The sequence below is a fragment of the Homo sapiens genome, chromosome 16, assembly GCF_000001405.40.
Source record: "Homo sapiens chromosome 16, GRCh38.p14 Primary Assembly".
Classification (NCBI taxonomy): Eukaryota; Metazoa; Chordata; class Mammalia; order Primates; family Hominidae; genus Homo; species Homo sapiens.
Genome location: NC_000016.10, coordinates 90,127,615 through 90,144,484, shown reverse-complemented (window position 1 = coordinate 90,144,484; position 16,870 = coordinate 90,127,615). Strand labels below are relative to the sequence as shown.

General features: G+C 45.3%; 2 long non-coding RNA genes across 2 annotated transcripts in view; both read right to left on the bottom strand.

Annotated features, from left to right (window-relative positions):
* Positions 1-16,870, bottom strand: part of FAM157C (family with sequence similarity 157 member C) — a 75,343-nt gene that overhangs the window by 33,122 nt on the left and 25,351 nt on the right. The gene's annotated exons all lie outside the window — the stretch shown is intronic.
* LOC105376781 (uncharacterized) overlaps positions 1-16,870 on the bottom strand; it is a 34,672-nt gene that overhangs the window by 17,238 nt on the left and 564 nt on the right. Inside the window, exons 2-9 of the long non-coding RNA NR_170196.1 lie at positions 15,753-15,862; positions 14,557-14,688; positions 11,245-11,266; positions 10,101-10,166; positions 7,885-7,943; positions 6,779-6,799; positions 6,269-6,511; positions 524-680 (exon numbers count right to left, since the gene is read on the bottom strand). This is a non-coding gene — a long non-coding RNA (uncharacterized LOC105376781). The remainder of the gene's footprint in view (positions 1-523; positions 681-6,268; positions 6,512-6,778; positions 6,800-7,884; positions 7,944-10,100; positions 10,167-11,244; positions 11,267-14,556; positions 14,689-15,752; positions 15,863-16,870) is intronic.

Sequence of the window (16,870 nt, the reverse complement as noted above, 5' to 3'; positions counted from 1 at the left end):
CTACTATTATTATTTTTATGGTAATTTCACTCAATTAAAAACTGTCGTTAAAAATTACCATTGTCATGGAACATAATGTCTCCTACTGTATAACTGTAGAAACAGATACAATTTGTCCCTTGGTATATGGGGGGATTAGTTCCAGCTCTCCCATTTCTGTGTATACCAAAATCCACGCATACTCAAGTTTTCGAAGTCAGTCCTGTGGAATCCACATATAACACAAATGGGAAAATTAGTGAGGTGTGGTGACAAGCACCTGTAGTCCCAGCTACTTGTGAGGCTGAGGCAGGAGGATTGCTTGAGCCCAGGAGGTTGAGGCTGCAGTGAGCCATAATTGCACCACTACACTCCAGTCTGGGCAACAGAGTGAGACAGAAGGTTGACTTTTTAATAGAATTTTTCTGTTCACTTGAAGATATGGTCAGGATTGTGGCATATGAAAATTCTTCATAAAATAACTATCTAATCCAATTAATGCTGGAATTGGGAACAGCAGAAGTGTCATCTCAGAGCTACTCACAATGAAAGGTGATGTCTGGGGCTCAGGTGTGTTGAGGTCCCCATGCCTGGACTATGGGTGCTGAGTGGGATTTACTTGTCCATCCATTTTCTATATTCCAGCACTGGGAAACTAGGGACAGTACTTGTTCTCAAGGGAATCTTCAGCTTAGGTGGCTCTGTAAAAGAGAAATTACATCATTGAAAAATCGTCGCAGGTCAGGTGAGGTGGCTCATACCTATAATCCCAGCCCACTGGGAGACTAAGGCAGGAGGATTCCGTGAGGCCAGGAGTTCAAGACCAGCCTGAGCAACACAGTGAAACCTCATCTCTACAAAAAATTAGAAAATGAACTGGGTGCGGTAAAACATTCGTATAGTCCCAGCTACTCTGGAGGCTGAAATAGGAGGATCGCTTGAGCCCAGGAAGTGGAAGCTGCAGTGAGCTCTGATCTCACCACTGCACTCTAGCCTTGGTGACAGAGTGAGACCCTGTCTTAAGACACACACAAACACACACACACACACACACACACACCCAATCTCACTCTGTCCAGCCTTGACTAATCAAAAGGGCCTTCTGGTTACAGAAGAGGTATGCTCTTTTGTAGGACAGGGAGAGACCAGCAAGCTTGTTCACAGACTTTTCCTCATCCTCTGCTTAGTTTTCCAAGAACCCTCACAGTGGAAATGGAGTCTCTGGGAAAATGACCTAAATCTTTGGGTTACCAGGGGAGAAATATGCCTCCTTTGTCAATTAATAAATGGAACATCTGCCTTAAAATCCAGGGAGTTCTGCTAGAATGAATCACTCCCTAAGACCCTGACCAATGCATGGAACATGAAAAACTGAAGTTTAACTGGGCGCGGTGGATCACGCCTGTAATCCCAGCACTTTGGGAGGCTGAGGCGGGCGGATCACCTGAGGTCAAAAGTTCTAGATCAGCCTGGCCAACATGGTGAAACCCCGTCTCTACTAAAAATACAAAAATTAGTTGGGCATGGTGGTGGACACCTGTAATCCCAGCTACTTGGGAGGCTGAGGCAGGAAAATCGCTTGAACCCGGAAGGCGGAGGTTGCAGTTACTTCTAGAAGAATTTCCATTAGCCCTTTGAAATCCTTCAACATTCATGAAGGCCAAAGAGTTTTCACCTAATTTAATCTGATGGGTATGTGACCAGAGTCTTTCTAGGGAATAGAGACTCCCAAACAGTTCGACTGGGAAGTGAGGAGAGAATTTATTACTCAAAACCAAAGGGAAATGAAAAGAGGCCAACATAGAATGTCATTATTCTTTCTTGGTGGGGAATGGATTCCAGAGTCATTCTGTGACCTTTACATGACCTCCTTATTAGCATCTAAAAGCTTCCAGTGTAGGATGCAGCCAGCTAGGTTCTCTTCTAATGTAATAAAATTTGCTTCGGCAAATCTTATGCAGAGCCATCTCCAGGCTCCAGAAACAACAGGCTATAAATTACTGGATCTCCCATTTGATACAATGAAGTATGAGCATGGTCCTGAATGACTCCTCTACATACTACTCTGGGTGGCTTGAAGTGAATTTGATACAAGAACTGGAGCGAGGGCAAAGCAGAGCTAGATCTAGGATTAATGTGCTTGGGCCCAGCTCCTCACTACTCACCTATGAGTCTAGTTCCAGAACCCAAGTAGAGGATGGGGAAACAAGGCTCCTGACTTTTTTTCCCTAATGTCTGCATCTCTTTCACATTTCTTATCTCCTTGCAAAGAAACTAAACAGGCTCAACTGAAATAACTAAATGATTAAACCCTATACAGAGAATCTCCAAAGACTGACAAAATATCATTCAAGACTGTTACACAGACAACCTTGAGGATGACTTGATGTACCAGTGATCTACAATATTTGGGATCATTCCAAATTCCCATCAAGGATCTGCCTATATCAACAAAGGAGCCAAGGACCAACCATTCAAATGGGCCCTGCTGCCAAGCCTTTTTTTTTTTTTTTAAACAATGCCATCTCTTCATATTGTTCCATTTAACAAAACTGCAGCCCTTCATCTATCCTTAAGTCCCTTGGCCAGTGGTACAGAGCCAGAGTATGCTACTCCCTAGCAGGAAATCAACAGGATGACCTACTAAACACCATTCAGAAGATGCTAAGACCCATGAATTGCAACAGGAAAGAAAAGACAGAGAATTAGTCAGACAGGTACATGCTGTGCCAAAAATGCACTACAGCCCCCACCCAATTCTGCCTAATCCTAGCTGGGCTGACACCAACCTGATGAGACAGGCCTATAAGATCTCAAACTAAAACAGAAACTCCTGAACTGGGTTCTTTCGAGCCCAGGAAGCAGCAGTAAATCATTAAAGAACAGATGAGTTCTTAAGGTGAGGGAGAGTTTCAGATAAATGGAATGCTGGTAGAACACAGGGCCCAAAGGAGCAAAAGTTAACCTAAGCCCAGGTAGAACCTTGTTTACTAGAGTATTAGGCATGGGTTTGGGCAACTATTCTAACCAGAGAAACTGGCTTCAGTGAGGGCAAGTTGGCAATCCAAGGTATAGCATGCATAGGGCTGGCAAAATTCAGGGTGACTGAAGCAAAAGCTTCATAACCAGAAAGACCACATCTGGGGGTAGAGCACAAAACTCTCAAGAGATGAATCTTTGTAAGAGTGAGGCAGAACTATATAGCAGTTTTAGGAGATCTGTTGGTGCCCAGCAAGAGCTCCAAACGGGCTATATGCAGGGATGCAGGCTGTAGTCTCAGGAGAGGAGGTTCACAAAAGTCATTCAGTCCAAGACCTCAAACTGTGTTCTCTACTAAAAGGAATCAAGGTTCCCTAGAGAAATGGCTGACTCCATGTATGGTGCAGTATATTGATCCTGGAACATCTGTTTTGCCAGAAAGCAAGGAAGCCATCAAAGTCCAACAGGATCACTTCAAAAAGACATGAAAGTCAACTTGAAGAGATAATTATTAACCTAGATGAGACAATGTAAGCATCCAAAACAATAAAGACTGCAATGGCCTGAAATACATCAAATGCAAACAATAATCTATGAGTTCATAATGGTATTCAGAAAAAAAAACTACTGGTCATTAGAGGGAAGGTTACTAGGTCACTAACTTACTACTCTGAAAAGTGACTTAAGATGAGAGGTAGGGTGGAAAATTAGCTATTTATTCAGTCTTTCCTGTACAAACATAAATTTTTAGGGAGATTGAAGCAGATGAAACAAATCTGGAAAAATGGAGGTAACTGCTTAATCTGCGGGTTGGGTGCATGGAGGTTCAACATATTTCTTTTGTGTATATTTGAACCCCCTACAAAAAAAGCACAAGAGAGAATGTGAGCCAAGCAGCTTAGGGTTTAGGCAAGGCTTCTGCCTACAAGAGACACTAGGATATGAGGGGTAGTTTTAGCCCTAATGGGCTGAGCCAACTGGAGGTATATAGGGAAGTGCTAAATTGCAGAGGTATCATGTTGCCCAGCACTTGATCAAATCCTAGATCCTAGGTCTGCTTGGTAGCATGCTTCCTAGGTAGTGGATCTGAGGCTACCTATAGAACTTCCTTTGCAGTCATAGTTCGCTCAGAAACTACAAAAGTGCTTGCTCTTGAAAATGGAGTCTTTGTCCATTTCATGCTTCTATAAAAGAATACCACAGACTGCATAATTTATAAAAAGGAAAAAAGGAAGGAAAGAAAAAAGGAAGGGAGGAGGGAAGGAGGGAAAAAGGGAAGGAGGGAAGGAAAGGAAGGAAGGGAAAGAAGGAAAGGAAGGAAGGGAAAGAGAGAAAGAGGGAAGGAGGAAGGGAGGGAAGGAGGGAGGGAGGGAGAGAGAGAGGGAGGGAGGGGAAGGGAAGAAAAGGGAAGAGAAGGGAAAGGAGGAAGAAAAGGAAAGGAAAGGAATAAATTTTATTTCTTAACAGTTCTGGATGTTAGGAAGTCCAAGGTTGAGGGGCCTGCATCTGGTAAGGGTCTTCTTGCTGCATCATCCCACTACAGAAGGCAGAAGGAAAAGAGAGTGCAAGAAAGCAAGAGGGCAAAAGGGGCTGAACTCTGTTTTATAATAAGCCCACTCTGTGATTACTAATCTATTACCACAATAACAACATTAACTCATTCATGAAGGCTATTTTATTAGGCCCCACATCCCAACTGTTGCATTGAGGATTGAGTTTCCAGCACATAAACTTTGGGGGACACATTTAAACCATAGCAGAGCACTTAGGTTAATTCAACTAAGAGGAGCTGGGAAAATCAAAGGCATGAGAAAGACAGCAAAAGCTAGCAGAGAGAAATGCATAGGTTAAGGAAAAAAGTCACAGTGAATCCTGTAGTGCAGGCTACTTTATGAAAAGCACCTAAAAAAGATCTCATTAACTCCCCCAGCTCACCTCCACGCACATCTAAAGAGCCACACACAGCACCACCAAAGGCAGCACAATGAGAACAGCATTCTCCTCAACAGACAAGCTGGGAGTATCTAGACACCTGACCTCAATAGCTCCAGAACAGCCCTAAAACATTTCCTCCCTAACCACCACTCAAGTCACCAGCTTGGAAAGTATTAAGAAAACCCAAATCCTGACACACCACTATGAAACAACTTAAAACAGCAAAGAACAACCCATTTAAACAGCAATGCCAGCTGTTGGGAAAAAAAGGAACAATGAGTAGAGGAGAAACAGACCTCTCGGGGTCCACCAAGACCCAGTCTCTCAGCTTCAGCACTTTTAAATGCAGAATCCATACCCCTCTGGGGCCTGTGGAGCTCCACAAGGCATGTCGTCCTCAAAGATAAATGAGCAGGCAAGCTGGCTAGAAAACCACTAAGGGTATTTATTCTTTAAAGAATCTTTACAGGGTCAAAGAAGAATGGGTCTTAACTGGCTATGTGAACTCCCCACAGATTCTGAGGATGATGTCAGTATCCCTTTCCAGATGTGTTTAACACTTTGCAGTCACTTGTATTCCTGCTACTGAGTGCCAGTGCTTTGCTAATTTGAACTGATTCCAGCTCACGCTGAACCCAGCTCCCTGGATGTTACCATTAGCCAAGACTGTCACCCATACTGTACCCTTTCAAAGAGTCCTAAAAACAGCTCTTCACCTACTCTTCCAAGACAAGTAAAAATGTCTGCCAAAGAAATGGGGAAAAAAGATTCAGAGAGTGAAAACAATTAATATACTAACAAGAGAGCAAAAAGCAAAGGGGGAGGAGAAACTAGGAAAATCATATATGGGCTCTCACCTATTTCCAAAGCTGGGCTAATGTCCTTTTGCTTGTGTCTGAATAAGGCACCAATTTTAAGCTGCTAATGAAAAAAAAAGAAAAAGAGAAAGAAGCAGGCCCAGGCTGGGCGCAGTGGCTCATGCCTGTAATCCCAGCACTTTAGGAGGCCGAGGCGGGTGGATCACCCAAGGTCAGGAGTTCTAGACCAGCCTGGTCAACATGGTGAAACACCATCTCTACTAAAAATACAAAAAATTAGCCAGGCATGGTGGCGCATGCCTGTAAATCCAGCTACTAAGGAGGCTGAGGCAGGAGAATTGCTTGAACCTGGAAGGCAGAGAATGTGGTGACCTGAGATCACGTCATTGCCCTCAAGCCACGGCAATGAGAACAAAATTCGGTAAAAACAAAGCAAAACAAAACAAAACCACCATAAAATAACTCAGACTTAATTAAATACAACCCTAGTGGTGAATGACTAAAGATGGATTACTCATAACAGAGACAACAGTCCAATAAGAATCCAGGAATCTTACCTTTTAATAACAAAAAAATCCTTTCCTTCTAAAGTAACATCCTCTCAAGGCCAGGAATTCCATTAGTAGAAAGCCTTCCTAAAAAACAAAATTCCTGGCCAGGCATGGGTTCACGTCTGTAATCTCAGCACTCTGGGAGGCCGAGGCGGGAAGATCACTTGATATCAGGAGTCGAGGCGGGAAGATCACTTGACGTCAGGAGTTCGAGACTGGCCCGGCCAACATGGTGAAACCGCATCTCCACTAAAAATACAAAAATTAGCCTGGTATGGTGGTGGGCACCTGTAATCCCAGTGACTTGGGAGGCTAAGGCAGGAGAATTTCTTGAACCCAGGAGGCAGAGGTTGCAGTGACCAGCAAGGTTGCGCCATTGCACCCCAGCCTGGGCGATAAGAGTGAAAACTCCATCTCAAAAAAAAAAAAAAAAAAAAAAAATTCCTTTGGGAAGGCCTTCTACATAAAAATCTTCAACATGAGACTGGAAAAAAGGGTATGGGATCATCACCGGACCTTTGGCTTTTACAGCTCGAGCTATAAGAAAAAAAAGAAAAAGGGATATCATTTAAACACAGTATGTAGAAAAGAATAATTATTGAATCTGTACTGGTCTTTAACTTTTACACTTTGATCTTTAATTCTGTTATTGTGATTGAGTCCAAAGAAAAACAGTATGAGTAAAATAAAAAGAACACCAAAAATGCTAATATTCTGTTTACCGAAGTCTGTAGTGAAATATCCCATTAAATCCAAGTGCAGTGACACACCCATAATCCCAAGCACTTTGGGAGGCTGAGGCGGGTGAATCTCCTGAAGTCAGGAGTTCAAGGCCAGCCTGGCCAACATGGTGAAACCCCAACTCTACTACAAATACAAAAATTAGGCAGGCGTGGTGGCAGAGGCCTTTAATCCCAGCTACTTAGGAGGCTGAGGCAGGGAGAATTGCTTGAACACAGGAGGTGAGCTTGCCATGAGCTGAGATCATACCACTGCACTCCAGCGTGCGTGACAGAACAAAACTTCAACCTCCAAAAAAAAAAAAAAAACAGCTAGCAGGTGACATTTGCTATAGGGAGACTAGGGATATGATCTTGCTGCAATCTTTCCATTTTAGTAAATCTAAACAAGTGTGAATCCATTCTGTTTCGTCCCCACTCCACTCCAGAGCCAAAACAAGAAAAACAATTATATTTCTAGTTCTTTAAAAACATATCTAACTAAATCATCTAATTAAAAGATAATATGCATGGTTCCATACTCTAAAAGAAAACTTATGTCCTGCATATCATGGACATTTGATGAATGCTTATTCAGTTGACTGGTGTAGACTTCAATAATAACCTGTTCAATGCATTATGCCAGATGAATCTTGCATCTCAAAAGTAGAACAAATATTGTTCTTTCAGTTTTGTCTACCCATAAATGCAATATTTACTAATAAAAAGAAAATGAGTTTATTGTTCTAGAGAGTATGAGAATTTTGACAACATGAATTCTCCTGTCCTAGGACATAATTAATACTTAGAGGCATACTATTTCATGTGGAAGCTACCATTAAATCAATGTTAAGTGTTAATTACCTCACATAATCTTCTAATCTGACTTGACTGAAGACGTACCTGACAAAGTTGATTTATCAAGTTGTAAATCTTCACCTGTTGAATTCATAAGTTCATGTCTGAAAGGTGAGAATAAATACTTAATATTCATTAGGCAATATTCAGCAAAGTAATATCCACTAGTACATATTTAATATTTCATCATGAACTGCGGGTGTGAAGAGAAAAGACAGGCTGGGCACAGTGGCTCACACCTGTAATCCCAGCAGTTTGGGAGGCCGAGGCAGGCAGATCATGAGGTCAGGAGTTCGAGACCAGCCTGGCCAACATGGTAAAACCCCGTCTGTACTAAAAGTACAATAATTAGCTGGGCATGGTGGCAGGCACCTGTAATCCCAGCTACTCGGGAGGCTGAGGCAGGAGAATTGCCTGAACCCAGGAGGTGGAGGTTGCAGAAACCATTATCACGCCACTGCATTCCAGCCTGGGCAAGAGAGCAAGATTCTGTCTCCATCAATCAATCAATAAAAATATAAGAAGGAAGCATTTACTGTGTATTTATATGTCTGGTATTATGTGAAGCACTTTACTATCTTATCAAATCTTCGGGACAGATCTTCAGTTCTCATGACCACAAAAGAGGATACTAAAGCTCAGACAGGAGAAGAGACGTGGCCAGCCTGTGTCCCCAGGGCCTATGGTCTTACCACTAGGTTACAGTGTTTCCAGATATCACATGTTGTGAGATTTTTGCTTTAAAATGAACCAAAAAAAAACCAAAGGTGAAAAAGGCATAAGCTATTAAAAAGTGGGAGAAACACTAAGAGAACCTTAAGCATGTAACTAAAAATATTATGGAAATGTTATTGAATACATTAGCAAATTTAGTGCTAGGTTTTCATTGAGGAGTAGGTTATATTACTCATGATGAAGAAAAATGTTCATTTTAAGTATATTAACATAAATACCATCAATATTGTTTATCATGTTTAAATGTTCACTTAAAGCAATTCAGTTAAAATTCTGCATATCATACAATTTTATAGTTTGCTAGTAGGTTACAAGTAAATAGTCACCCAAATAAAAACATCATGTTTTCCACTGGTTGTTGCTCTTTTTTAGGTGAGTATTTGATACATACCAACAGAGAGAGGATAATAACAAATCGCTAATTTCTTTCATCACTATATAAAGGTGGCTTCAGGATAGAATAGTATCAGTGTAATGATGAATTTGAAATCTAACATCAATTCAGTGATGCATCAAGATAAAAGTAGAGACAACAGGGGCACCTTGGTGAGTACTGAACATTTTATTTATTTATTTATTTTGAGATGGAGTTTTGCTCTTTTTGCCCAGGCTACAGTGCAATGGTGCCAACCTCGCCTCACTGCAACCTCTGCCTCCTGGGTTCAAGCGATTCTCCTGCCTTGGCCTCCCGAATAGCTGGGATTACAGACATGCGCCACCACACCCGTCTAATTTTGTATTTTTAGTAGAGACGGGGTTTCTCCATGTTGGTCAGGCTGGTCTCGAACTCCCGACCTAGATATCTGCCTGCCTTGGCCTCCCAAAGTGCTGGGATTACAGGTGTGAGCCACCACGCCCAGATGAATTCCAAATTTAACAAAGCAGACTAAGAGAAACAATTCATTTAAAAAAATAATATTTGGCCAGGCATGGTGGCTCACACCTATAATCCCAGCACTTTGGGAGGCTGAGGTGAGTGGATCAGGAGGTCAGCAGTTCAAGACCAGCCTAGCCAAGATCATGAAACCCCGTCTCTACTAAAAATACAAAAATCAGCCAGGCGTGGTGGCTGGTGCCTGTAATCCTAGCTGCTCGGGAGGCTGAGGCAGAGAACTGCTTGAACCCGGGAGGCGGAGGTTGCAGTGAGCCGAGATCGTGCCACTGCACTCCAGCCTGGGCGACAGAGTGAGGCTCCGTCTCAAAAAAAATAAATAAATAATTCAATGAAATTCCTAAGATCCAGGGCTTTGCAATAAATATGTAAATAAATTTCCAATCTCCATACTGAAAGTTTAAAAGAAATGCTAACTAATAACTAAAGAAATACAACTTTTCCTCAGCTTTGCAGCAATCTAGAAACAAAGTGTGTAGACACTACAAAGCACCTTACAAGGAGAAACATATAAGGATGGCATGACTCGCCGGCAGCCCTGGGATTGTCCACGGTACCCCCATGATGAACAGTAACTCCACTGTGTAAACGCCCATGAACCTAAGATTACAAGACTTTTCCAGTTTAGACATACCATATTTTCTTTCAGACAATTCTTCAGTTTGTTTACGTAGATCAGCGATACGATGATTCCATTTCTCTGAAAACCAAGCAAAAGTTGCTTCTCAATAACACGTCCCTATGTCAGAGCAGCACTAACATATAATGACTGATTTCATATATTTTACATTCTAACAGTCCATATCATTTTACTGCTTTCAAGAAAAAATTTCCCCTTCTTGGTGGTTCTTAGAATTGGTTTAATGGGAGACTATTAGAGAAGCTGAAAAGCAGGAGGGCAGAAAAGTTCAATCAAATTAAACACAATAACAGGGAGGTCACAATGAGGCGGTCTCCAGGGGTCTTTTAGCAAACTTCCTAAAACATGTCTCAGCTGTGTGAAATAAGACTTTACAGCAGCCGGGTGCAGTGGTGCAGGCCTGTAATCCCAGCACTTTGGCAGCAGAGGCAGGCGGATCACTTTGAGCTCAGGGCAACATAGCCAAAACCCCCCTCCCTAGCCCCCCCCCCCACCCCGTCCCTACCAAAAATACAAAACAGCAGGGCATGGTGGCGGGCGCCTGTAGTCCCAGCTACTCAGGAGGCTGAGGCAGGAGAATCACCTGAACCCAGGAGGCAGACATTGCAGTGAGCCAAGATCACGCCACTGCCAGCCTGGATGACAGAGCAAGACTCCACCTCAAAAAAAACAAAAACAAAAACACAAGGTTAAGAGGGACCCCCGACCTTACAGATACAAGTTTAAGAGGGACCCCTAAGCAAAAAATGCCAACCCTTTTTCTCCCAATCATTGAAACACCAGGAGGGTGTAACAGTTTTGCAGCCTAGCTGTAGCAGGCTGATGCCCCCAAGATGCCCATATCCTAATCCCGGGAACTGGTGAACATGACCTTATATGGCAAAAGGAACTTTGCAGATATAATGAAGTTAAGGGTCTTTGGCTTTTGGGGTTGATGTACTCACTCGGATCCTTGTAAGAGCAGAGCAGGTGATGGAGAGGGTGGGAGGTGTAGTGACAGAAGCAGGAAACTCCAGTCATTCGAGACGGGCAGCACAAGCTGCGGAGTGCAGGCCACCTCTACGGCCAGGAAACGGATTCTCCCGCAGAGCCTCGGAAGCTACCGACCCTGCTCCCACCTTGACTCAGTAGGACTTACTGTAGAATTCTGGCCTTCAGACCTGTAAGGGAATACATTTTGGTTGTTTTAAGTCACTAAGTGTGTGGTAATTTGTTGCAGCAGCCACAGGAAACTAGTATTGTAGTGAAGCCTCAAAACCCCCCTGAAGGGGCTGGGCTCAGTGGCTCATGCCTGTAATCCCAGCACTTTGGGAGGCCGAGATGGGTGGATCACTTGAGGTCAGGAGTTCGAGACCAGCCCAGCCAACATGGTGAAATGCCATCTATACAAAAAATACAAAAACTAGCCGGGCATGGTGGCACATGCCTGTAATCTCAGCTACTCAGGAGGCTGAGACAGGAGAATTGTTTGAACCCAGGGGGGCAGAGGTTGCAGTGAACTGAGATTCCACCACTGCACTCCAGCCTGGGTGACAGAGCGACGCTCCATCTCGAAAACAAAACAAAACAAAAAAACCCCACCTGAAGGTTTCCAGTTCTGCCAGCACTCTCCCACCCAACCCCCAGAAACAGACATTCCATTGCTGTGGGCCACGGACAGGCAGAAGGAAGCACCTCCTCATGGCAGAGGCCTACCCAGGAGAAACCCAAGGGAAGGCACTACTGGGCTGGCCCCTCTCTGCCAAGGCCATATTCTTTTTTTTTTTGAGGCCAGTTTCACTCTGTCTCCCAGACTGGAGTGCAGGGGCACAATCTCGGCTCACTTCGACCTCTGCCTCCCCAGTTCAAGTGATTCTCCTGCCTCAGTCTCCTGAGTAGCTGGGATGACAGGAGTGTAGCATGCCTAGCTAATTTTTGTATTTCTAGTAGAGATGCGGTTTTGCCATGTTGCCCAGGCTGGACTCGAACTCCTTGCCTCAAGTAGTCCACCTGTCTCAGCCCCGCAAAGTGCTGCTATTATAGGAGTGAGCCACTGCACCCAGCATTTGCCAAGACCTTTGATGGCAGGCTTTTTCCAGGTGATCAGTCCTTGTCTGGTCTGGCTCTGCCCCACTCTCCTTCTAACCTAGTTGGAATCCCTAGCTACTTTTCAGTAGAGGAGAGTGTGTACCCCAATCCCAGCTTGGTTCAGATCTGCATTTAACTCATGGAACCTGGCTGCTCCCCAGGTTCTGAAGAAAAAAACGGTCTCTCTGTGGGTATGATAAAGGATGGGCCTGTCCCCAGGACCCTGTGAGAGGGAAGCCCAATGTCCCACCAGGTTGGCAGGGCTGGGGAAGGGAAAGTGTTATGGCAGCCCCAAGAAAAAAAAGAGGCAGCAGAGGGAGCAGGACAGCGCTCACATGGAACTCATGCCACTGCCTGAGGGGAGGGAGGAGTGCACGCCAGTGACGTCAGGGGGCAGAGAGGCGCAGTTCCAGGGCGGCTTTCCCCCTCACTTCCTGCCATGTTACTCTGATCGCCTCCAGGTGAGCCTGCCCACTTTGTGCCCAGGGGCCTGTAGAAAACCACAGCTCCCCATGGTTATGGCCCCAGGAGTGGGGCAGAGCAGGGAGGAGTCCTGGACAGAGGAGAGGCAGGGGCAGGAGGGAGTGGGCCTCAAACTCCAGGAGGGGGCCCTTCTCATGGGTCCTGCTTTCTGGCTTCTCCTTCCTTACCCCTGGGCTGATCACTTGGGGAAGAACTGAGACAAAGTTTCTCACCCTCAGGCCCAAAGGGTTTAATTACTGGGCCCTTAGGGAGGTGTGAGCCCCCTGAAAGGATGCAAGGTTTTGTTTTGTTTTGTTTTTTGAGACAGAGTTTCGCTCCTGTCGCCCAGGCTGGAGTGCAGTGGCGTGATCTCACCACACTACAACCTGCGCCTCCCAGGTTCAAGTGATTCTCCTGCCTCAGCCTCTGGAGTAGCTGGGATTACAGGTGGCTGCCACCACGCCTGGCTAATTTTTTGTATTTTTAGTAGAGACAGGGTTTCGCCATGTTGGCCAGGCTGGTCTTGAACTCCTGACCTCAGGTGATCCGACTGGCTCCGCCTCCCAAAGTTCTGGGATCACATCAGCCACTGTGCTTGGCCACAATGAAAGGTTTTGTGTGGAGAGCATGTACATGCCTTTCTGGGAAAACAGTCCACAGCTCTTATTCTCAGCAGGCTTCACGGTGAAAAAAGGTTAGAACTCTTGCTACAGAGCTGTGGAAGCAGCCAGGTGAGGGGCCTGCCAAGGGCACTCTGGGCACTACCTGGGCACTCTCGAGCCCATCATCCCCTAGGCAGGCTGCACTGCTTGGTATTTGCAGAGCTGAGGGGGTGGGGCATGTGGGGACTGTGAAATCGCCCTGAGATGACCCACAGTCCTCAGCTAGGAAGTGAGCGCTGCATCTCCTGCAGCGTCCTCCATCCCTAGAGCCATGGGGCCAGGAGAACCGGCCCTTGCAGCAAGTGAAAAGCCTATTATTGATTCCCTCCCTAGCCATGTAGACAGTGAACCAAGACACTCATATCAGGTAAATGCCTTGTTCTCTGTTACCAAGGTAACCAGTAGGCATTCCCAGATACAGCGAAGGTCCTCACACCAAGATATGCACCTGGCCACCTGAGGAAAGAGAAAGGACTATCTGAGGGGACGGGGCTGAGCTGGGTGTGGAGTGGTCCTTGTGGGTCTTGGAGAGTGGGAGGGGGAGCAGCATGAGCCAGGCCTCGAGGCAGAAGGACAACCAGGAGACAGCCTGGAAAAAGTGCTGGACCCACAAGGGCTCAAGGCTGGCCAGAGGGGAGGTGGGATAGGCTGTAAAGTCCTGAGGTCTGAAGATTGGCCCTGGCAGGAAGAAACCAGGTAAGGTGGGGTGTTACCTACACCCTCGGGGCCAGATGCAGGCCAGAGCCAGCCAATTACCAGGCCCTTAGGGAGGTGTGAGCCCCTTGAAATGATGCAAGGTTTTTTGTTTTTGTTTTGGAGACGGAGTTTCGCTCTTGTCACACAGGCTGGCACCTTTGCCCAGAGCAGGCACCAAGACTTCTGGCTCTGGGTGTGACCTCAGTCTGGGTAAAAGCCCCAGCCCCCACCAGCACCACCTACCCCCTAGACTACTTCAGGTGCTGAGCCCAAGCCAGGGGCAGGAAGCTAAACTGATGCCTAGGGTAATCCCAACAAAGTCCCTGGTTCCCCGCAGCTATGGGGCTGACGGGGAATTACAGCCCAAACCCCAGATGCTGGCTCTCAAACTAACACTGAGCCCTCAGTGCCCACAGGGAGATACAATCAGCGCACTTTCCAGATGGGGAAATGGGATCAGAGAAGTGCAACAGCCTTGCCCAATGCCCCAGACCAGGGCTCCAGGCCCAGAGTGTTCTTTTGTCACTGTGTTCAGAGGGCAGCAGCTGCTGTGATGTACCCACCTGAGCCTGGCAGCTTTCTCCAACTTTGGAAGCCCAGGAGCATGGCCCCTGTCCACAGATGCACCTGGCATGAGGCGTGCCCAGAGGGACAGAGGCAGATGAGTTTCGTCTCCTCCACTGGATTGTGAGGGCCTAGAAGGAGACAAGGGTCTGCTTGGGAAGGCAGTGAATAGCGAGCAGCCTGAGGCAGTGCCCCTCTGGATGGATGCGCAGTGCCTGGATGGAACCTGGCTCAGACAGAGCTCAGTTCTGCAGGTCCCTGAGGCATGGAGAGTTCACAGCTACCAAGTGTAGGAGTCTGGATTCAAAGCCAACGGCGTGACTCCAAAGTCCCTGCCCTAGTCCCTGGACCACCCTTGCAGGCCCATCAGATGCCCAGGCCAGCAGCACAGCCGGCCAAGACCAGGGAAACTTGGGGAGCCTCAGAGCACCCCCAGGTATTCCAACCTAACCCTGGTGCCCCGCCTCTCACCACCCTTCTTCCTGCTTTAACCTCAACCCCTACACAAAGCCTGGGCCACTTAATGTGGCATCAAACAGACGCCTCAATAAATCAGTCTAATCTCGAAAAAAAAAAAGACTTAACAGATATACAATTGCACGTTAGAATGCTAAAGACCATAAACATATAACAACTTAAAGTACATATAAATTCAATATATATCCAATCATTGTAACTATGACACAGTAGAATATTAAAATACTATTTTCAAAATGTATACAAGCTTAATGTTCTATGTATTCAAACTATTTATTCAAAATACAAATCATCAACATACATTGCCACTAATATTCAGTCCCTTCACAGGACATGATTCACTGGGAGTTAATAAATTAGCAGCCAGCAGGCAGTGACACACCGCAAAAATGAAAACCAAGAGGTGAAATAGTTCTGAAATAAAGGTTTTAAAGCTAACAGAAATCACTGAATTACTAAGTCATTAGCACTAATTTTGAGCCAACTAACTAATTAATATGAGATGATACAATGTCCTATACTTTGGTAAATACAGACTATGTTTAAACAATGTCTGTAACGTGACTTGTAAAATGCTCCTGGCTTTACAAAGATGTGATTAAGATGTAGTAACACATGCTAAACCATTTCCCCCTGCAGAGCATGTGGTAACTTTCATCAGTCACACTGAGAGTCCAGAAGATAAAGGAAAAGGTCATGGATTTCGCTGAGAACTTACCAGAGTTGAACTCCCTCATTTTCCGTTCCCCAGCATTGGCAGGTTCTGGGACTGGTGGCTGTGGTGGCTCGTTGGTCTTTGTCTCTTAGAAGGTGGGGAATAATCATCATCTTGAAAAAGAAAAAATGGTCATTACTGAAGGAACCATCTTAGGTTACAGCCACCTCTGGGTCAATTCCCAACATTCAAAAGCTGAGCAGGGCTTTAAAGCTATCTTATTAATAATTATTTCTGTATTGCGAACTTCAGCATACTTTTTTCTAGTTACATTTGAAATGTTATTCTTTTGGGATGTGCTCAAGTGAGTACTGCTTTTTCCTCTGCCTTGCTTCATTACTTTTTAGTTTCCTTCATTTGAATCATCATTGTAAGTCTCCCCTTCTCCTCAAATAACTTTCAAATTGCTGCCAAGAACTACGTTCTATCTTAAGGCTTTTGAGAAAAAACTTTCAATGAAGATAGCCGCCTAAAGTTATACAAATATAGAAGAAACGGGATAAAATAAAGCTTAGATTGGAAAAAATATTTAAGATTCTACAAAATTCACGCGTAAACAAGGGAAGCTGAGTAATTGTATGTTCAAATACTTTTAACAAGTGCAAAACATGTAGGCTTAAAGAAATAGAGCTGGCCAGGCATGGTGGTTCACGCCTGTAATTCCAACAGTTTGGGAGGCCAAGGCAGGCAGATAACTTGAGGTCAGGAATTCGAGACCAGCCTGGCCAACAGAGTGAAACCCTCTCTCTACTAAAAATACAAAAATTAGGCCAGGAGTGATGGCTCACGCCTGTGATCCCAGCACTTTGAGAGGCCGAGGCGGGTAGATCACCTGAGGTCAGGAGTTTGAGACCAGCCTAACCAACATAGGGAAACCCCGTCTCTACTAAAACTACAACATTAGCCGGGTGTGGTGGCACATGCCTGTAATCCCAGCTACTCGGGAGGCTGAGGCAGGAGAATCCCTTGAACCCAAAAGGCAAAGATTGTGGTGAGCCGAGATTGTGCCATTGCACTCCAGCCTGGGCAAAAACAGCGAAACTCCGTCTCAAAAAAAAAAAAAAAGAAAAAATTAGCCAGGCATGGTGAAGTTGCAGTGAGCTGAGACTGCACCATTGCAC